This window comes from Homo sapiens, chromosome 15 (assembly GCF_000001405.40).
Source record: "Homo sapiens chromosome 15, GRCh38.p14 Primary Assembly".
In the NCBI taxonomy this organism is placed as follows: Eukaryota; Metazoa; Chordata; class Mammalia; order Primates; family Hominidae; genus Homo; species Homo sapiens.
The window spans coordinates 43,078,250-43,101,917 of NC_000015.10; the positions used below are offsets into that span (position 1 = coordinate 43,078,250).

Consider the following 23,668-nt stretch of genomic DNA (forward strand, 5'->3'; position numbering starts at 1 on the left):
TTGGAAGAAAATCAGATACATTTTTACAGAGTGGAAACCCCTAAAGATGTGGCAATGAAGGAAAAAGGGATATAAGGGAAAATTCTATAGAAATGAGAGAGAAACAAGACGTGCCAAACCCTCCCTTCACATCACCACCACTAATATCATCAACAAAAAAAGAAATTACACAGAAAATGGAAGAACTGACAGAAGAGAGCACTTGTAACCCTTGAGCATGAAATGAGAAAGAACAGAAAAAGCAGCCCATATTCACATAAACATGTAAAAATTAAAAGGGGAGGGGCAAAAATGCAAATAAGAGCCAAAACCCAATCACAAAGCTAAAGAAAACTATAACACAATGCTCCAAACTCAATTACATGGAGTCAAACAAGCATTTGGTGATTATGACTTGAATCAGATGAAAACACCTTGTATCAGAAATAGAAAAACTGGCCAGGCACAGTGGCTCATGCCTGCAATCCCAATGCTTTGGGAGGTTTGAAGTGGGAGGATCACTAAAGGCCAAGAGTTTGAGATCAGCCTGAGCAATACAGCAAGATCCCATTTCTACAGAAAATTAAAAAATTAGCCAGGTGTGGTGGCATGCACCTGTAGTAAGTAATACATAAACTAAAAACAGAAATGGACAAAAAAGCAGGAATAAATGAGACTTAATTGAACTCAGGAAAAAAAAATACAAGAAGATGAGAAAATCATGCCAGAAATGAATTTTACATTACAAAGTATCCAAAATATAGACTCAAATGAAAAGTTAATGAATAACATTGAAGCAAAGCAGGAATACAAGAGAATGAAAATGAGATGAAGTAAAAAGTAGGATCAGAGAGAAAGTCATTGAAATGGGGGACAGGCATAAGAAAGCCACTATAACTGGAGTCACCGAAGAAGAAAATCAAAACAACGGAACACAACTAACATTTAAAACCACAGACCAGGCACAGTGGCTCATGCCTGTAATCCTACACCTTGGGAGGCCGAGGCAGGAGGGCTGTTTTAGCCCAGAAGTTTGAGACCAACCTGGGCAACACAGTGAAACCTCGTCTCGGTTAAAAAAAATAATCGAATTAAATTAAAATGTAAAAACAAATTAAAAATAAGACTATAAACTAAGAAAACTTTCTGCAAATAAAAGAACACCTGAATCTGTACACTAAAAGGGCCCATGAATTCTTGAGTGACTAATCAACTCCAAAATATATCCTAGTAAAACTATTTGACTTTAAAGATAAAAGTCCTGAGGGTGGCCAGGAGCAGTGGCTCACGCCTGTAATTCCAGCACTTTGGGAGGACGAGGCGGGTGGATCATGAGGTCAGGAGATCGAGACCATCCTGGCTAACACGGTGAAACCCCGTCTCTACTAAAAAATACAAAAAAAATTAGCCGGGTATGGTGGTGGGCGCCTGTAGTCCCAGCTACTCAGGAGGCTGAGGCAGGAGAATGGAGTGAACCCGGGAGACAGAGATTGCAGTGAGCTGAGATCGTGCCACTGCACTCCAGCCTGGGCGACAAAGCGAGACTCCGTCTCAAAAATAAATAAATAAATAAATAAATAAAAGTCCTGAGGGTATTCAGGTAAAAGATGAGATATCATAATGACAAGAAAATCATACTGGCATTAGACTTCTCAGTAACAACATATGAAACAATAGCAGAGTAGTATTTTTAAGTAAAGAAAATGCAAACTAAGGATATTATTTCCAGCCAAGCTATAAAGGTCTGATTTTGAACATGTCAGGACTCAGGGAACACTACACATGTACCCTTCTTGAGGTGTCTATTTGAGCAAGAATCAGCAAACTTTCTGTGTAAGGAACCAAACAATAAATATTTTAGGTTTTGCAGGCCACATAGCCTCTGTCAAATTACTCAATGCTACTGCCGTATTGCAGAAGCAGCCACAGAGAATACAAAAGTGAATAAGCATGGCTTTGCTGCAATAAAACTTTATTTACGGGCACTGAAATTTTAATTTCATATAATTTTAATGTATCATGAAACATTTTTTTAAACTAACCATCTAAAAATATAAAAACATTCTCAGCTGTTTGAAGCCATATAAAAATAGTGAGCCAGATTTGACCCACAGGCTGTGGTTTATCATTCCCTTCCACCATCATCCCCCAGCCACTAGCAACCACTGATTTTTTTATTGCCTCCCCAGTTTTGTCTTTTCCAAAATGTCATACAGTTGGAATCATACAGTATGTAGCCTTTTCAGAATTGTTGCTTTCATTTATCAATATGTACTTAAGGTCCCACCATGTGTTTTCATGACTTGATAGCTCCTTTCTTTATAGTACTAAGCAATATTCCATTGTATGTATGTACCACAGTTTTTCCATTCACCTACTGAAGGACATCTTGGTTGCTTCCAAGTTTTGGGAAATATGAAGAAAGCTGCTATAAAACATTCACTGGCCGGGCGTGGTGGCTCACACCTGTAATCCCAGCAATTTGGGAGGCCGAGGTGGGTGGATCACTTGAGGTCAGGAGTTTGAGACCAGCTTAACATGGTGAAACCCCGTCTCTACTAAAAATACAAACATTAGCTGGGCATGGTGGTACACATCTGTAATCCCAGCTACCTGGGAGGCTGAGGCAAGAGAAATGCATGAACACAGGAGGTGGAGGTTACAGTGAACCAAGATTGTGCCACTGCACTCCAGCATGGGCAACAGAGCCAGACTCCATCTCAAAAAAAAAACATTTCGTGTGCAGTTTTTTTGTATGGACATAAGTTTTCAATTCATTTGTGTAAATACCAAGGAGTGCTGTTGTTGGATCATATGATAAAAGTATGTTTACTTCTGTAAAAAACTGTTGAATTATCTTCTGAAGTAGTTATACCATATTGCATTTCCACCAGTTATAAGACTTCCTGGCCAGGCACGGTGGCTCACGCCTGTAATCCCAGCACTTCAGGAGGCTGAGGCGGGTGGATCACAAGGTCAGGAGTTCAAGACCAGCCTGACCAGCAGAGTGAAACCCCATGTGTATTAAAAATACAAAAATTAGCCAGGTGTGGTGGCGCACGCCTGTAATCCTAGCTACTCAGGAGGCTGAGGCAGGAGAATCACTTGAAGCCAGGAGGCGGACGTTGTGGTGAGCCGAGATCGCACCATTGCACTCTAGCCTGGGAAATAACAGCGACACCCCATCTCAAAAAAAAAAAAAAAAAAAAAAAAGAAAAGTTCCTGTTGTTCCACATCCTCACCAGCATTTGGTGCTGTCAGTGCTTTGGATTTTCACTATTCTAATAGGTATATAGTAACATCTCATTGTTTTAATTTGCAATTCCCTAATGACAAATGATGTTGAGCATCTTTTAGTGTGTTTACTACTGATCATTTGTATATATTCTTGATGAAGTGTCTATTCAGATATTTTGTCCATTTTTTAAAGGGATGGTTTTCTTATTCTTGAATTTTAAGAGTTCTTTGTATAATTTTAGCACTGGCCTTTTTTTAAGATGTATGTTTGGCAAAGTTTTTTTGCTCAGTCTATCTCTTGCCATTTTATTCTCTTAAAAATCCATATTTTTTAATCCAGTAATTCCACTTCTGAGAACCTATCCTAAGGAAATAATCCTACATATAAAAAAATTATTTACACATAAAGGCATTTACTGTAACACTGTTTATCATTTTAAAAAAACTGAAACCCAAATAAATACCCCAATAATAGGTAAATTTAAAAATAAAATATGGTTAAATATTATATACATAATATGTTCTTAAAAAAGCACAATGTATAATTTTATATATTTTGCTTTTTACATTTAAAAGTATAACAAAATTTTATTTTTATAACTCCACAAACTTCCTTTGAAAACTACATTTTTTTCCTGATTAAAAGAGATAGTTGCAGAAATACACTCTTTTTATAGCTCATTTTTCTCATTTAACAACATGAAAAAAACATTTCTATTAAAAACAATCTTTAACAGTAAGTGTATGTTCGTTTCTATGTATGTATTTTTGAGAAAGAATACACAGAGGTTTACTGTAAGTTTTTTTTTTAGTAGTAAACTACTGAAAGGCTAGAGATCACAAAGAAGGGTCATATTACACACTGTAGAGCAAAGAGCTCAAAATTTTGTTTGTTTTCTTGTTCTCAAAAGTTGTTATGGACTATTCTGCAACTGAAGGTTTATCTTGGTCCTTTCATCACATAATATCTGATCTTGAGTCTCCCTAAAATTACTCCTTTTTTCTTTTCTGTAAAGCAACACACATCCCTTATCTCTTCCAATCTTTTCTTTAAAATGGCTATGTTCACATATCAGAGCTGTTATAGCAGGAATGTGAATACTACTCAAGAATTTGGACTAGATGGCCATCAGATTCCTGCTTATTCAGAGGTTATGGTTATATTTTCTTACCTTGTAACGATGATTTTTATGAACACTGTCCTGGAAGCAGTCCATACAGAGTACACATGTTGGATCAATTGCACAATCCCTGAAAAAGATCAGAAATCAGATTCCAAAATTTAGATGACTCCCACTGATGCTCAAGGTATGACTATAATACAATGTGAACAAGTTTCCTCTATGGTACACAAACTGAATATGAAAATGCTTCAAAAACTGGATTGTTAAAATGTTTTGAACAAAGATAATATTGCTAGCACAACTTTAGTCTCATTTTAGCCACATTTAAGTGTGTAGGTCTGGATGTTTGGTTTTCTTTCTGAAATCATTCTCATAACTTTGGGCCTTGACCTGGTTTCGAACTGTTAGATTACAATTCAAAAATAGTTTTGTAAAAAATAATCCACTTTTTCCATTAACTACCATCATCTCATCCTATTACATAAACAAATATATTTTACAAAAGCTGATTGCTCATTGTTAAATGAGGCTTGGATAAAGACAAAGTTCATTAGAATGCAAGCAACATAAGGGCAGGGATTTCTATTCATTGTACATTGAAGTGTCCCGAACACCTGCAATGATGCCTGGCATATAGTGGGTACTTAATATTCATTGAACAAATGAAAGAAATTCAATCCCTCTTCATCTCTCCCTTAATAACAACTTCTTAAATGCATTGTTTTATTTAACATTTTGGAGGAGACATTAAGAACAATATAAATTAGTGCAAAGTGCAGGATTATTATTTTTTTTTCTTTTGAGACAATCTCACTCTGTCACCCAGGATGGAACGCAGTGGAAGGCAGTGGCATAATCATAGCTCACTGCAACCTCAGCCTCCCAGGTTCAAGTGATTCTCGAACCTCAGCCTCCCAAGTAGCTGGGATTACAGGCATGCGCCACCACGCCCAGCTAATTATTTGTATTTTTAGCAGAGACAGGGTTTCACCATGCTCGCCAGGCTGGTCTCGAACTCCTGACCTCAAGTGATCTGCCCACCTCAGCCTCCCAAAGTGCTGGGATTACAGGCGTGAGCCTCTGCACCTGGCCAGGATTAATTTTTTAAATATCTTATTTAGAAGAATTGAAGAGATAAAATTGGGGAATTTTAAAAAGATTTTAAAAGGCTGGCCAGGCTTGGTGGCTCACACCTGTAATCCCAGCACTATGGGAGGCCAAGGTGGGCGGATCACCTGAGGTCGGGAGTTCCAGACCAGCCTGACCAACATGGAGAAACCCCGTCTCTACTAAAAATACAAAAAATTAGCCAGGCATGGTGGTGCTTGCCTGCAAGCCCAGCTACTCAGGAGGTTGAGGCAGGAAAATTGCTTGAACCTGGGAGGTGGAGGTTGCGGGTGAGCTGAGATAGCGCCACTGTACTCTAGCCTAGGCAATAAGAGCGAAACTCTGTCTCAAAAACAAACAAACAAACAAAAAACAACAACTTAAAAAGCTAACAGGAAATATAGGTTGTCTAATAATATTCTGTAAAATATATATCATCTATAGACCTATTTAGAGTAGGATTTTTCAACCTTAATACTACTGACATTTTGGGCCAGATATCATTTGTCGGGGGTGAACCAGACTGTCCTGTGCATTAGGATGTTTAGCAGGAATCTTGGCCTCTACACACTAGATGCCAGTACCTTCATCCCCAGTTGTAACAACTAAAAATATCTCCATGAAACTTTTGGAGACATGAGGTCTGCAAATGTCTAGCATGCTTTAGTTGAAACTGATTGGGCTTTAGCTAAAAATATGTAAGAATATAAATGACCCTTACTATACTATATAGCAACATGGTACACAAAATGCAAAGACTATTTTTTCGTTTGTTTTTGAGATGGAGTCTTGCTCTGTTGCCCAGGCTGGAGTGCAGTGGCACAATCTCGGCTCACCACAACCTCTGTCTCCCGGGTTCAAGCAATTCTCTGCCTCAGCCTCCCGAGTAGCTCGGATCACAGGCGCCCACCACCATGCCTGGCTAATTTTTGTAGTTTTAGCAGAGACGGGGTTTCCCATCTTGGCCAGGCTGGTCTTGAACTCCTGACCTCGTGATCCACCTGCCTCGGCCTCCCAAAGTGCTGGGATTACAGGCATGACCACAGCGCCTGGCCAAGGCTATTTTTTTTCCCCTGAGAAAAGAACAGAATAAAGAAAGATAGTATGTTCTAAACAACTGTTAACTGTACATAAACCAGTTAGGCCTAGAATTATAAGGAAGTAAAAACAATTCTCTGTATTTATAAAGTTTAAAACTTTACACTCCTAACCTAAACTAGCTCTAAGAAGGAAAACTAAATTTCAAATTTCAGGCAGAGGTAAGGAGTAAAAACATTCTCTGTGCTGTCACGAAGTTTAAGGCACTGCTCTCACAAAGAATAAAAAGCCTAAAGTTGCTTTCAGTTTCCCTGCCGCTGGCCTCTTCTATTCAACTAAATTACAACTGTTTCTACAGGTTCAAAATCCCTTATGCCAGACTCTGAAATCCAAATAGCTCCAAAACTGAAAGGTTTTGGGATTGTAGGTTTGGCAATAAATCTCACTTGGTGGCAAAAAATTACTTTAAATGACATGCGACTACAGGCATGATTTATACTACTTGTTATGAATATTCACAGATTTCTTAAAGAAAGATTGTGTTTGATTACAGTGTCCCGCCCTGACTCTGCTGGGGAAGTATTCAGAATTCTGAAATGGCCCCAAAGAGTTTCAGGTAAGAGTGTACTGGATATATTATGAACAAGGCAAAAATTTATCACTGACATTCCGTTGGAGAACAGGAAGAAACAGTGAGCACTATTTAACTGGAAGACATATATATTCAGAAACAAGCTATACTAGCAAAAACCAAACTATAACGGTATAATAAAAGAAAATTAATAAGATTAAATGTATTATAAATAGCAATAAACCAAGACAAGTACATCGTGAAATAGATACAAAATACCAAGATTGTAATACTTGGCCAGGATGCAGTGACTCATGCCTGTAATCCCAGCACTTTGTGAGGCTGAGGCATGTGGATCACTTGAGGCCAGGAGTTTGAGACCAGCCTAGCCAACATGGTGAAACCTTGTCTCTACTAAAAATATGAAAATTAGCCAGGCATGGTGGCGGGTGCCTGTAATCCCAGCCAGACGTGGTGGCGGGCACCCGTAATCCTAGCTACTTGGGCGGCTGAGGCAGGAGAATTGCTTGAACCTGGGAGGCAGAGGTTGCAGTGACGTGACCGGAGATCGCACCACTGCACTCCAGCCTGGGTCACACAGCAAGACTCTGTTTCAAAAAAAAAAAAAAAAAAGGATTTTAATAATTATAATCAATCCTGTAAATTTCTAATTCTTACCTGCAAGAATAGGTTGTCTCTCCACTTTTGAAAACCCTCCCACAAAGCTGAAATGCTCCACTGTGCTTCAATTTCTCTAAGCAAATATCTGGATCTTCTCCAAATAAGTACCATTCCAGTGGAGTGAATATTGACATTTGTACACTTTCCTCCTGCTTTTCCAAGTCTGGGTCCATTTCAGCAAAGTAAATTTCTGGCACCAATTGTGCCAAATGATGCAAGAAAGCAGTATAAAAATCAACTTGCTGATCCCACCACTAAAAGAAAAGAAGATGAAAATTAGACTGACTTACAAGTTCCTTCTTAATCATCTAGGGGCACAAATAATGACATAATTCTACAATTTCAAAGTAATTTACAGTATATTTCATCTTTCACCAATACAGAAGGAAAGTGGGTGATTAAAAAAATTAAGCTTGGAAATAAGCAACTGCTCACATACCACCAGTATCTGAAAAAAAAAAAAAAAAAAAGAAGAGTAGCTGTAGTAAGAATTATCCTTCCCTTCTGAAATGGCCAATTCCTGCTATGTGAAGGTGGTTCTATTATCAGTCACAGGCTGTACAGACAATGCATTCATCAAAAATTTTGTTTTAGGAAACCAGAGTATTTAACAAGAGATCGAAATGAACATAGGCCAAAATTTTGTAAACACAAAAAGCACTAACCATAAAAGGAAAAAAACTAGATAAAATGGACCTCATCAGAAGTAAAACCTTCTGCTCTTTAAAAGAAACTGTTACAGATGGCTTATTTGCATGTGAAAACATGCTTACATTATTAGTCATTAGGGAAGCACAAATTAAAATGACAATGAGATACCCCTGTACAACCTAGTACAGTGGCTAAAATAAAAAACTGGCAATATCAAATGCTAACTAGGCCAAAAGTGCTTTCCCACCTATAGTCCCATCTCAGGAGGCTGAAGTGGGAGGACTGCTTGAGCCCAGGAGTTCAAGGCTGTAGCGTGTGCCTGTGAATAGGCACCGCACTTCAGCCTCGACAACACATAGGGAGACCCTGTCTCTTAAAAAACAAACAAAAGACAAAAACAAAAACAAAACACATATGACTCAAGGCACATCATTTAAAAACAACAACAAAAACTTATCCAAGGAGTTTTACAAGCTAATAGAATCGGGCCGGGCGCGGTGGCTCACACCTGTAATCCCAGCACTTTGGGAGGCCGAGGTGGGTGGATCACGAGGTCAGGAGATCGAGACCACCCTGGCTAACACAGTGAAACCCCGCCTCTACTAAAAATACAAAAAATTAGCCAGGCGTGCTGGCGGGCGCCTGTAGTCCCAGCTACTCAGGAGGTTGAGGCAGGAGGATGGCGTGAACCCAGGAGGCGGAGCTTGCAGTGAGCCGAGAATGCGCCACTGTACTCCAGCCTGGGCGACAGAGTGAGACTCCAACTCAAAAAAAAAATAAAATAAAATAATTAGAATTAAGATTTTAGATAAGGTTCCATAACAGGTCATTAAGGAAAGTTACAGATATTTGATTACATATAAGGCTTTTTTAGTTTGTACTAATGAACCTCAATATTCCATTCACAAATAAATTCAACCTCAATATTCCATGCACAATTAAAACTTTATGGAAAATATGTTTAGATTAGGTATTACTATAGAAATTAGTCCATTCTCTAAAGGGCAATTTGTAGACAGTTATTAAAATTTTAGATTTACATATATTTTGACCCAGAAATGCCCATTCTAGGAATTTATTCCTCTGATAAACATGTAAAAAGAAAGTATTTTTTTTTGCAGCATGACTATTTTTAATCGTCAAAGACTGGAAACAACCGAAATGTCCCAAAACAAGAGCTGAATAAATCATGGGACATTATAAAAAAGGAGAGGGCACAGATCTATGTCCTGATATGGAACATAAAGCAAAAGTTACACAACAGTGAGTATAATGTGCTACCATTTATACTGGGAGAAGGGAGGAAAAGAAAAAAGAAGAGGTGAAGGAGATGTATCTGTATATGTTTATATTTGAATACAAAAATCTCTGAAAGGATTCAAAATAAACTGTTAGCAGTAGAAAGAGCCTGGGAAAAACTTAGCGTTCACTGTGTTAACTTTTTTACTGTTTTAATTTTTTACTGTATATACACATTATCTATTTGAAATCATTTAAAAACTTTTTCAATCCTATACATTTCATGTACAGTTATTCATAACAGCAAAAAATTAAAAACCTGAATGTCCGTGAAGACAGGGTAATAATCTATCATTTAGCCATACTCATCCAAGTGTGAAAATATATATTTACATCCACCAGATGTGCACTATAACATCACTTGTAACTGAAGAGATGAAGTCCACCTAAATGTCTATCAATAAAGGTATATCCACTGTGGTACAGTCATACCACTCAATGCAGTCAGAATGTCATAAATACTGTTAAGTGGAAAAAGAAGCTTTAAACATAATTTCATTTTTGTAAAAAGTAAAAAATTATATATACTTTTAAAATTTCAACACATTTGGGCTTTCTTTCTTTCTTTTTTTTTTTGAGATGAAATTTCGCTCTTGTCATCCAGGCTGGAGTGCCATGGCAGGATCTCAGCTTACTGTAACCTCTACTTCCTGGGTTCAAGCGATTTTCCTGCCTCAGCCTCCCAAGTAGCTGGGTTTTCTAATTTAATACATGTGGAGGCACATCTCTGCCTATGCTTCCCTAAACATAGACTAAGGGTCTGGAAGGAGAAACAACAAACTATTAATAATGGCTACACAGAGGGAAGGAGCTGGGGAAAAGAATTAGGGATTGTCACATTTTTACTTTCAACAATGTTACATTGTTTGACTTTGTTAGACAAGTGTCAATACTTTTGCAACTAACAAAAAAAAAAAAACTTTTAAAAAATCTACATGAGGGCTGGTGCACATGGTGGCTCATGCCTGTAATCCCAGCACTTTGGGAGGCCGAGGCGGGCGGATCACTTGAGGTTAGGAGTTCGAGACCAGCCTGCCTAACATGCTGAAACCCCGTCTCTACTAAAAATACAAAAATTGGCCAGGCATGATGGCATGCACCTGTAATCCCAGCTACTCAGGAGTCTGAGGCACGAGAATTGCTTGAACCCGAGAGGCAGAAGTTGCAGTGAGCTGAGATCATGCCACTGCACTCCAGCCTGAGCGACAGAGTGAGACTCCATTTCAAAAAAAAAAAAACTACATGAGATAATACGCCCATTTAAAAATGATGCTGGCTGGGTGAGGTGGCTTATGCCTGTAATCCCAGCACTTTGGGAGGCCGAGAAGGGCGGATTACGAGGTCAGGAGATCAAGACCATCCTCACTAACATGGTGAAACCCCATCTCTGCTAAAAATACAAAACAAAATTAGCCAGGCGTGGTGGTAGGCGCCTGTAGTCCCAGCTACTCGGGAGGCTGAGGCAGGAGAATGTCGTGAACCCAGGAGGCGGAGCTTGCAGTAAGCTGAGATTGCGCCACTGCATTCCAGCCTGGGCGACAGAGCGAGAGTCCATCTCAACCAAAAATAAATAAATAAATAAATAATAAAAAATGATGCCAAATGGTCTCAAAGTATCTCCAATGGGAAAGACAGTAACAGAGAGAAAGACACCACAACATTATTGTATTATTTTTTTTCTTTTTAATAGAGAAGGGGTCTCACCTAGGTTGGTCTTGAACTCTTGGGCTCAAGTGATCCTCCCCACCTCCCAAGGACATGGATCTGACGGGGACTACAGGCTCATGCCACAGCACCTGGCTGATTTTTGTGTTATTTTTGCCCAAAATGTATAATCTAATTCCAATCATGAGAAAATATCATACAAACCCAAAATGAGGGACATTCCATACAATAACTGCAAAGTACTCTAAAAGTGTTAAGGTCATGAAAACAAGGAAAGATCAAGACATTGTTACAGACTGGAGACGAGAGAGATAACTAAATGTAACTGGGATCCTGGGTGTTATCCTAGAACAGAAAAAGCACATTTGTGGGAAAACTGATGAAATGCAAATCAGATCTGTAGTTAGTATTTATATTAATTTCCTGTCCTTGATAATTATACTATGGTTATGCAAAATGTTAACATTACAGGAAACAGAAAGAGGGAGGTAAAAGAACTGTGCTACAATTTATGCAACATTTTTTATAGTCTAAGATTAAAACAAGAAATGATGCTGAAGAGGTTTATTTACTAATATGGAAAGGCATTAATAACAAACAGTTCAGTAAAGTAGGTTACAAAGCAGTATATATAAAATCTCAATTTGGTTAAATATTATATTTACATTTACATAGAGAAAAATCATGACGACTATTTAACAAAATATTAACAGAAATGGGTGGTGTGATTTTAGCATATTTTCATGGAATTCATTACTCTGCTTATCGAATGAGTAATATCCTTACAGTGAGTCCATATTTTGGAAGTAATTTTATAATTTTAAAATTAAAATTTATTTTACTAATACCTTTTAAAAATAAATATACCTTCCAGTATTCCTACTCCAACTTTTCTGGGGTACTCATACACAAACAACTTTTCTCTACATACCTGGCAACAACTACAACTAACATAGAGATAATATCTAATGTTCTATGTTATACCTAAGGTTCTTTTCATCAACAGCACTAAATGAAGAAAAAAAAAAAACTTGCATATTCAGCGCTACAAACCAAACAAAAAATCTTACTGTTCTACTTAATTATAAGAGGCACAGAACTAGCTCTTTTCAATTTGTCTTGTTTAGAAGAAATTTAAGAGTAAAAAAGAGTACAAGCCCCTCACATTTCATAGATGAGAAAGCTGAATCACAGGGAAGTAAACTGACTTGTCCAAAATCATCAAATCACCAGTTGGTATCAATGTCAGGAACAGAACTAGGTATCCTAAGTCCTAAAGTTCAGTGCCCATTCTACTAAACCAAACATAAATATACAGTTTTTATTTTATTTATTTATTTATTTTTATTTTTTTTGAGGTGGAGTTTTGCTCTTCTTGCCCAGGCTGGAGTGCAATGGCACGATCTCGGCCCATGCAACCTCTGCCTCCCGGGTTCAAGCAATTCTCCTGCCTCAGCCACCCGAGTAGCTAGGATTACAGGAACGTGCCACCACGCCTGGCTAATTTTGTATTTTTAGTAGAGACGGGGTTTTTCCATGTTGGTGAGGCTGGTCTTGAACTCCCGACCTCAGGTGATCCGCCCACCTCAGCCTCCCAAAGTGCTGGGATTACAGGCATGAGCCACTGTGTCTGGCCAAATATACAGTTTTAAAATCTACCTTTACTGGCTTGTTCAATTTCACATTATAGGTTGGGCATCCCACACCCAAAAATCAGAAACCAAGACACTCAAAGGAAATGCTCATTGTAACATTTTGGATTTTAGATTTTCAGATTTGGAATGTTCAACCAGTACAATACAAATATTCCAAAATCTGAAAAAATCCAAATTCCAAAACACAAGGGATACTCAACCAGTAATGGTAAAATAAACAAAACAATAAAGTTTTGCCTTCTTAATTTTTGCTTTAACTATTGCCTTCTTTGTAATTACAATTACAAATGAAGCCTCTTAGCTAACAACTACCGAACACTACTGAAGGCTACTAAATATTCTTAAATTATATCTGTCATCACATGCTTTATAATGAATAATTGATATTTTAAAACATCATGGCTGGGCATGGTGGCTGTAATCCCAGTACTATGGGAGGCCGAGGTGGGTGGATCACTTGAGCTCAGGAGTTTGAGACCAGCCTAGGCAACATGGTGAAACCCCGTCTCTACTAAAAATACAAAAATTAGCCAGGTGTGGTGGTGCGCATCTGTAATCCCAGCTACTCAGGAGGCTGAGGCAGGAGAATCACTTGAACCCGGGAGGTGGAGGTTGCAATGAGCTGAGATCATGCCACTGTACACCATCTCAAAAAAAAAAAAAAAAAAAAAAAAAAAAAATTAGCCAGATGCGGTGGCACATACCTGTGGTCCCAGCTATTCGGGAGGCTGAGGTGGGAGAATTGCTTGAGTCAGAGAGGGAGAGGTCAGTGAGCGGAGATCATGCCACTGCACTCCAGCCTGGGCAACACAGTGAGACCCCATCTCAAAAAACAAAACAAATTATACTCTTGGCTGATTTAGGCAGAATGTCTGGGTGCTGATGCCTTAAATACCCTCTCCATCAGTCTCACTACTAGCTCTCTGTCCCTCCACCCCCACACCAACTTATTTATCCCTCAAGGCCCAGCTCAAGGCCAACCTTAGCGAATCCTTCACTGATCAGCCCAAGAAAATTTTTCTTCTGTTAATTCTAATACAGTATTTGAAGGCAGTACTCATTCTGTACTTATACCACTGGCTGATATCATTAATTACCTTTAAATGTGTACATCTAGCCTCTTCAATTAGAATGTAAGCTCCCTGAGGAGAGGAACTTTGCTCTTCAAATCCCTGTATCCTATAGGCCTAGCACAAGTACACAATAAAAGTTATCAGTTAATTGCTAAATGCTACACATTTCTTGCCAGAGAAAACAAAGCAAATTTTGATAACATTAAGCCTTCTATAACTTTGTGTATAGAATTTTTTTTTTCTAAGACAGAGTCTTGCTCTGTCACCAGGCTGGAATGCAGTGGCACGATCTCGGCTCACTGCAACCTCTGCCCCCTGGGTTCAAGCGATTCTCCTGCCTCAGCCTCCCAAGTAGCTGGGACTACGGGCGCGTGCCACCCCAACCAGCTAATTTTTGTATTTTTAGTAGAAACGGGGTTTCACCATGTTGGCCAGGATGGTCTCAATCTCTTGACCTTGTGATCCGCCTGCCTTGGCCTCCCAAAGTGCTGGGATTACAGGCGTGAGCCACCGCGCCCAGCCTAGAATTTTTATGGGAAATAAAGTTCAGTTACACTCTTCACAAAAATGTTTTCCATTATTGCCAAACTGTGGAAAATTTTTTTCAACTAAAATAGGTTTGATTTTTTGCCTTTGGTTGGTTGTTTTTAAAATTTTCCCCCATTTTCAACAGGAATAAAATTAAGAATTTTTAAGTACCAAGTCCAGGAAAAAAAAAATAACTGTTTGAAATTAAGGGAAAGCTTTCCTAATTGACTATTCTGTAAAAAACAAGTTCTTAACAAGTTCTCAACATTAAAATTCCCAAACATTCCAAACATTTCCCTCATCCCCAAGGAGACTAGAGATATGTTTTCAACTCTGACCCAACAGCTTAGATGCCTGTTTGGGAACATCATTCTGAAAAAGGAACTTACTTAAGTAGATTAGTTTTGTTTAAACCACAATTTGACCTTCCTTAAACAACTGCTAGACATCTACAGAGCCTTCAGAGCCCAGTAATTGTTTTTCTAATTCTTCTTTTTAAAGTGGTAACAAAACCTGGAGGCGCTACCATTTTTCACAGCCACTATGGATTAGTAATAATTAGAGCATCTCTAGGCACCAAAAATCTTTGATTATACAATGTTTTCTTCTAATATTATTCTACAGACTCAAAGGTTTACAGCAACCAGGCACAATGGCTCATGCCTATAACCCTAGCCCTTTGGGAGGCCAAGGCAGGCAGATCACTGGAGCCCAGAAGTTCAAGACCAGCGTAGGCAACATGGTAAAACCCCATCTCTACAAAAAAACACAAAAATTAGCTGGGCATGGTAGCATGAGCCTGTAGTCCCAGGTACTCAGGCTGGGTACCTGAGTGGGAGGATCACCTGAGCCCAGGAGGTTGAGGCTGCAGCAAGCCCTGATCGCGCCACCGCACTTCATTCAGCCTGGGGAACAGAGTGAGGCTCCGTCTCCAAAAAAAAAAAAAAAAAAAAACCAAAAAGGCAAGCTCATAACTAAGCTAAAATCTACTTTCCTGTAACTTTTATCCTGTTACTGAAATAAACCAATATAATTCACTCTGCTTTTTCATCAGTCTTTTCAAATAAATGAAGATAACTATTACGTCTCTCATTTCTAGTCTCTTCATTTCATGGCTAAACTGAAAAAAAGAGAATAAAGAAATTTGGCCAGCCCTAAAGACATGGTATCCTGACCACTCTCCAACTTGATTACCCTTATGAAACTGCACAGCATGCTTCCATAAAGAGGAATAGGACTATTTATTACCTTCCTTATCCTGAGCACTAAACTGCTTCAAAAGATCACATTCTGAAAAGGCGTGGTGGCTCAGCTGTAATCCCAACACTTTGGGAGGCTGAGGCGGGCGGATTACTTGAGGTCAGGAGTTTGAGACCAGCCTGGCCGACATGATGAAACCTCATCTCTACTAAAAATACAAAAAAATTAGCTGGGTGTGGTGGTGCACGCCTGTAGTCCCAGCTCGGGAGGCTGAGGCAGGAGAATCGCTTGAACCTGGGAGGCAGAGGTTGCAGTGAGCTGAGATCGTGCCACCACACTCCAGCCTGGAAGACAGAGTGAAACTCCATCTCAAAAAAAAAAGCAAACAAACAAACAAACAACAAAAACATCCATTCTCACATTCTTTTTTTCTTTTTAAATTTTTTTCTATTTCTTTTTCTTTTTTATTTTCTTTTTTATATATATTTTAAATCCTCTTTTTCCTAGCTCCTGCAAGCAAAGCATTCTTTGGCTGCTACATCACATGACTTGGTTAAAGTGCAGACAACTAAAACCCTTAGATCAATCACATGTAAGAGACCTAGTCCTATACCAAATGAACCTAGATATAAGGCTTTACTTTCATCACAATTAAGTTAGTTTTGACACAATATTCAGCCTATATGGGATTTATCCTTTACTTGTTATCCCTACCAGCCTTGTGCTGTCTGTAAATATGATAAGTCTTCTATGCCTTTATGGCATTGATAAAATAAGCCAGAGTCAAATATAGAGCCACATGACAAGTCCACTCTCTTTTCTTTCCTGTTGAGATAACGTATAAGCATGCTGTCAGAATTTGGTTTTTGAAAACATTTTGTCCCTCCTAAGGGACAAATTCTCTTTGTCCTATTTGTTGTATTCTCTTTTTCATCTCTGTCATAAGTCATGCCCCAATTTTTTAGGCTTTCCTTGAAGTATCTGGATAAGTAAAATCTGCTTTCATAAACTCTGAGGTATCTATTTCATATTCTCTTTCTGCTGTATGGAATATATATCTGCAAACCAACTAAAATCCTCTCTTAAATTACAAGGCAGAACATGTGTGTATTTTTAAAAAATTGATAAATTAACAGACTTTCCCTCCAGTGGCTAAAGTCATTTCTGGCTTACCCATAAATACCAAAACTTCAAAGGCATTTTAAAAGGTGGTCCATAAAGACATTAAGTAGTTACAGCTTCACTCCTCTAAACAAGTCAAACAGACTTTGTTCTGAAGAGTGGCATTAAGTAAACTATTAGAAAGAGAATTATATTCAAGTGAGTAACAGTAGACTCCATTCTGGACAGGGTCTGTGTCATTCCTGGGCAGCAAGTGGGCAGTTAGGAAAGTGCACTAACTCTACTGGAGTCTTATCAGTAACGTTTACTTACCACAGCATATTTCCATAAGCACTCAGATTAGAATTAGAGTGTGACAACATTAAAAAAAAAAAAAAAAGGCTGCATCAAATGCTTTAAAAAAACTAAGCTCATCAACTATGGTTTATTCAAGAGGAGGCATGTTAACTGAAAATATCTTGAAAGAACATGTAGGCGGTCATAGTAAATCACCTGGCATTAGAGGTCTTAATATTTTGTGTTAGGTCATCTGAGGCAAGGGGTTAAAAGCTTAAGGAAAATTATTTCACAGAGCACAGCATATGCTTAATACCTTTACAGAAATGGATAAAGTGGCAGCAAGGGAACTCCGAGGTAACCCTCAAAGTCAGCATCCAAAGAAAGGATGGGCAAGATACAGGCACACCTCAGAGACATTTCGGGTTCAGTTTAAGACTACCACAATAGAGTGAACATAAAGTGAGTCACACAAATTTTTTTGGTTTCCCAATGCATATGAAAGTTATGTTTACACTACACTATACTAAGAGTGCAATAGTATGAAGTCTTTAAAAATGTACTTAATGTTAAAATACTGCTAAAAAATGCTAATGATCATCTGAGTCTTTAGAAAGTTGTCATCTTTTTGCTGATAGGGGGATCTTCCCTCAATATTAATGGCTGACTGATTAGGTTGGTGATTGCTAAACGTGGGGGTGGCTATGGCAATTTCTCTCTTTTTTTTTTTTTTTCTGAGACAGAGTCTCACTCTATCCCTCAGACTGGAGTGCAGTGGCACGATCTGGGCTCACTGCAATCTCCGCCTGCCGGATTGAAGCAATTCTCCTGCCTCAGTCTCCCGAGTAGCTGGGATTACAGGCGCCTGGCTCATTTTTGTATTTTTGGTAGAGATGGGGTTTCACCATGTTGGTCAGGCTGGTCTCAAACTCCTGACCTTAGGCAATCCGCCCACCTCGGCCTCCCAAAGTGCTGGGATTACAGCCGTGAGCCAACGCGCCCGGCCAGGCAATTTCTTAAAATAAGACAACCATGAAGTCTGCCACATTGATTGACCTTTTCACAAAAGATTTCTCTGTAGCATGTGATAGCATGTTACCAATGGCAGAACTTCTTTCAAAACTGGAGTCAATCCTTGCCAACTCTGCGGCTGCTTTATCAACTATGTTTATGGAATATTCTAAATCATTTGTTCTTATTTAAACAATGTTCACAGCATCTTCACCAAAAGTAGATTCCATCTCAAGAAACCACTTTCTCTGCTCATCCAGAAGAAACAATTCCTCATCCATTAAGTTTTATCATGTGTTTACAGCAATTCAGTCATAACTTCAACCTCCACTTCTAATTCTAGTTCTCTTATTTCTACCACATCTGCAGTTACTTCCTCTACTAAAGTCTTGAACCCCTCAAAGTCATCCAGGAGGGTTGGAATCAACTTCTTCCAAACTCCTGTTCATGTTGATATTTTGACCTCCTCCCACAAACTATGAATGTTCCTAATGGCATCTAGAATGCTGAATCCTTTCCAAAAGTTTTTCAATTGACTTTGCCCACATCTATCAGAGGAATCGTAATTTATGAAAGCTATAGTTTTATGAAATGTGTTTCTTAAATAGTAAGAGTTGAGAGTTGCAATTACTCCTTGATCCATGGGCTACAGAATGGATATTGTGTTAGCAGGCATGAAAATAACATTTATCTCCTTGTATATCTCCATCAGAGCTTTTGGGTGACCAAATGTATTGTCAATAAGCAGTATATTTTGAAAAGAATCTTTTTTTTTTCTCAGCAGTTCTCTACAGTGGACTTAAAATATTCAGTAAATCATGTTATAACAGATGTACTGTCATCCAGGCTTTCTAGTTCCATTTATTCAACATACGCAGAGTAGCATAATTCTTAAGTATTCTTGGATTTTCTGAATGGTAAATGGAAATTGGCTTCAACTTAAAATTACCAGCTGCATTAGCCGCTAGCAAGAGAGTCAGCCTGTCCTTTGAAGCCAGGCATTGACTTCTCTCTAGCTATGAAAGCTCTAGATGGCATCTTCTTCCAACAGAAGGCTGTTTCGTTTACATGGAAAATCTGTTTAGTGTAGCCACCTTCATCAATTATCTTAGCTAGATCTTCTGCATAACTTGCTGCATCTTCTCCATCAATCAGCACTTACTGCTTCACGCTGCACTTTTATGTTGTGGAGATGGTTTCTTTTCTTAAACATCACGAACCAACCTCTGCCAGCTTCCAACTTTTCTTCTGCAGCTTCCTCACTTCTCTCAGCCTTCGGAGAACTGAAGAGAGTGAGGGCCTTGCTCTTTGATTAGGTTTTGCCTTAAGGGAATATTGTGGCTGGTTCAATCTTCTATCCAGAGCACTAAAACTTTTTCCACATCATCAGTAAGGCTGTTTCACTTTCTTATTATTTGTCTGTTCACTAGAGTAGCACTTTTAATTTCCTTCAAGAACTTTTCCTCTGCATTCACAACTTGGCTAACTGCTTGGCACAAGAGGCATAACTCTTGGCCTATGTCAGCTTTCAACAGCCTTCCTCACTAAGCTTCATCATTTCTAGCTTTTGATTTAAAGTGAGAAATGTTGAACTTTCCTTTTCACTAGAATACTTAGAGGCCATTGTAGGGTTAACTGGCTTAATTTTAGTATTGTCCCATCTTAGGGTATAGGGATGCCCAAGGAGACGGAGAGAGATGGATAAGTAGCTGGTCAGTGGGGCAGTCAGAACAAACACAGCTTTTTTTATTATGTTTGCTGTCTTTTATGGATGTGGTTCATGGCACCCCAAAACAATTACAATAGTAACATCAAAGGTCACTGATCACAGATCATCATAACAGATATAATAATGAAAAAGTTTGAAGTATTGTGAGAATTACCAAAATGTGACACAATGACACGAAGTGAGCACACAATGTTGAAAAAATGGCACTGAAAGGCTTCCTTGAGACAGGGTTGCCATAGACTTTCAATTTGTAAAGAACTGATTATCTACAAAGCACAATAATAAAGCTCAATAAAATAAGGTATGCCTGTATTTCACTGGTTCATCTGTATCACTGATTTATAAAAGTATCTATCCAGACACACTCTTTGTGCAGTACTGAGGACAAAAACCTTTTCATTTGCAGGATGTTTGGTATTATAAGAAGTCAGTTTCCAGCACTAGCACATCTACACTAAGTTACTGTTCCTTCCCTAGACTCTTAGTTAGTGGGGCTGAATCAGTCATTTTGACTTAGAGTTTTAGAACTCAATTTCACATCTAATTCTATAGAATCTGGCATTAAAAAATCAAAATTTCCCTAACTCCCCAAAATAGAAATTATGAGATGGTGAAAAAACAAAAGCCATTAGGTCTTGCTAAGATCTGGTGACAAAGTACTTCAGTTAGACTCAAAAGACCTACATTTTCATCAGTTTTCCCACTCAGAGTGTGTCCTTACTACACAAAACTGTGCTCTGGCCTAAAACAATATAGATTCAAATTTCTAAGGAAAATCATCTCCAATTAAAATCACATATAACTCCTCACTTCTATATTGAAGTCAAGAGATTATGTTGTATTTTAAAGATCCCCTATAGCCCAGGCACGGTGGCTCACATCTGTAATCCCAGCACTTTGGGAGGCTGAGGCGGGTGGATCACCTGAGGTCAGGAGTTTGAGACCAGCCCGGCCAACACGGCAAAATCCCGTCTCTACTAAAAATACAAAAATTAGGTGGGCATGGTGGTGTGCACCTGTAATCCCAGCTACTCGGGAGGCTGAGGCAAGAGAATTGCTTGAACCCAGGAGGCAGAGGTTTCAGAGAGCCAAGATTGCACCACTGCACTCCAGCCTGGGTGACGTCTCCAAAAAAACAAAAAAAAAAAGTTCCCCTACAGATATGAGATTATGGGTACATTTTTCTTTGATTTCCATAATGATTATTGCGTAACCATAACAATATTAAACTTTTAAAAAATCCTCCCATTTCAGCAGGAGACAACTTTGGGAAATAACAGAAATATTCTATAACCTGATTTGGTGGTAGTCACACAAGTATATACATTTGTTAAAATTTATCCAAGAAACGCCTTAAATGGGTACATTTTATTGTATGTAAATTATATCTCAATAATGTTAATATCTCTTAACATTCTCAGCTTCTATTACCCCCACTTCCTCTCTACCTCAGTGTCTTCTCATTCATTCATTCATTCATACATTCAATAAAAACTTTGAAGCAATGTGCTAGAAACTAGATACAGCTGTGAACAAGCAACAGTTCAGGCCTTCAAGAACTTCACTGTCTAGAAGGAAAGACACATAGTAAACAGGTAACGTAGAGTACAGTCTGAGACACGCTACATAAAACCATAAAACAGGAGTATAGAAAGGGTGCTATAGGAACACACAAGAGGTGCCTCTTTTTTTTTTTTTTAGACGGAGTCTCACTCTGTCGCCCAGACTGGAGTGCAGTGGTGTGATCTCAGCTCACTGCAAGCTCCGCCTCCCAGGTTCACGCCATTCTCCTGCCTCAGCCTCCTGAGTAGCTGGGACTACAGGCGCCCGCCATCATGCCCGGCTAATTTTTTGTATTTTTAGTTGAGAAGGGGTTTCACCATGTTAGCCAGGACGGTCTCGATCTCCTGACCTCATAATAAACCCACCTCGGCCTCCCAAAGTGCTGGGATTACAGGCATGAGCCACTGCACCAGGCCAAGAGGTGCCTTTAACCTGGCTCTACCATCACAAAAACTTGATGTGCCCCCATGTACTCAAATTCTAAAATGCCCCTTTCTGACCACAAAGTTCAGTCCTCCCACTTATGTCAACCTCATGCCCTTTAACACCTCAATCCCACCAATTCCCTCCAGATTTCCTGTTTTGGCTTTTATTACCTCCCTGTTCAGCCTGGACTCGAAGGTTAGCCACTACCCTAACATGCCGGCTCATTCCCTTTTTTCTATCTACAACCTCCATCCACCAATCACTACTAATCTTACTACAATAAATCATTAATGTTGATCCTCAGTTATTCATTCATTTAAAAATATTTAAGTGTCTTCTGTATCAATCACATACCAAGATACATCAATGTGGCCAGGCATGGTGGCTCATACCTGTAATCCCAGCAGTTTGGGAGGCTGAGGCAGATGGATCATGAGGTCAAGAGATCGAGACCATCCTGGCCAACATGGTGAAACCCCGTCTCTACTAAAAACACAAAAATTAGCTGGGCATGGTGGCATGCCCCTGTAGTCCCAGCTACTCAGGAGGCTGAGGCAGGAGAATCGCTTGAATCCGGGAGGCGGAGGTTGCAGTGAGCCGAGATCGCACCACGCACTCCAGCCTGGCGACAGAGCGAGACTCCGTCTCAAAAAAAAAGATGCATCAATGAACAAGTCACACATGATCCTTCCCTTCATGGAACTTACCTCTCCCTCTGGAGGAAGAAACAGACATTTTGCTAAGTAAATAAAGACAATACAGTAATTACAGATTGTAATAATTGAAATGGGAGAAATAAACAGGTTGCTTTGACAGAGAATAAGAGGAACCCATCTTTTAGACAGAGTGTGTATTAAGAAAAAGCAGAGGAAGAACACTCTAGGAAAAGCAAACAGCAAGCAACAGCACAGACCCTAAAGCAAAATACAGCTTGGGCTTGTACTAACAGGCCAGGATGAGTGAGGAGAATGTAACAGGAAATGAGGTGGAGATGCAGGGGCTGGACCAGGCAAAGTCTTGAAGGCTTGTAATGAGTTTATAAGTATAAGAGAAAGCCACTGAGGATTTAGGTAGGAGACTGACATGATCTCATTTAATCTTTAAAAGATTACTCTGGTTGTTCTGTGCAGAATGGACAGGAAGAGGGCAACAGTGGAAGCAAACAGACCAGTTAGGAAGTCACTGCAGTAGCCAAGACAACAGAGAGTGACTTGGACTACATGGGTGGAGACAGAATTATTTGTCTTCAAGAGCTATGATGGAGGTGCTGTCTACTGAGACAGGGACAACAAAACTCTTGATCTGCCTTTCTCCTTTCCTCTCCTAAAATCTTGTCTTTCCTCTCAATATATGACACAACCAAGGCCAGGTGCGATGGCTCACATCTGTAATCCCAGCAACTGGGGAGGCCGAGGTGGGTGGATCACTTGAGGTCGGGAGTTCGAGACCAGGCTGGCCAATATGGTGAAACCCCACCTCTACTAAAAATACAAAAAAACTGGCTGGGCACGGTGGCTCATGCCTATAATCCCAGCAATTTGGGAGGCTGAGGTGGGCGGCTTGCCTGAGGTCAGGAGTTCAAGACCAACCTGGCCAACATGGTGAAACCCCTCTCTTTACTAAAAATACAAAAATTAACCAGGCGTGGTGGCAGGCACCTGTAATCCCAGCTACTTGGAAGGTTGAGGCAGGAGAATCGCTTGAACCCGGGAGGTAGAGGTTTCAGTGAGCCG

The 23,668-nt window shown here is 39.3% G+C and overlaps 1 protein-coding gene across 1 annotated transcript in view; it reads right to left on the reverse strand.

Moving 5' to 3' along the window:
* UBR1 (ubiquitin protein ligase E3 component n-recognin 1) overlaps window positions 1-23,668 on the reverse strand; it is a 163,142-nt gene that overhangs the window by 135,353 nt on the left and 4,121 nt on the right. The window contains exons 2-3 of the mRNA NM_174916.3: window positions 7,735-7,991; window positions 4,389-4,467 (exon numbers count right to left, since the gene is read on the reverse strand). Coding sequence (NP_777576.1) covers window positions 4,389-4,467; window positions 7,735-7,991 — 336 coding nt within the window. The remainder of the gene's footprint in view (window positions 1-4,388; window positions 4,468-7,734; window positions 7,992-23,668) is intronic.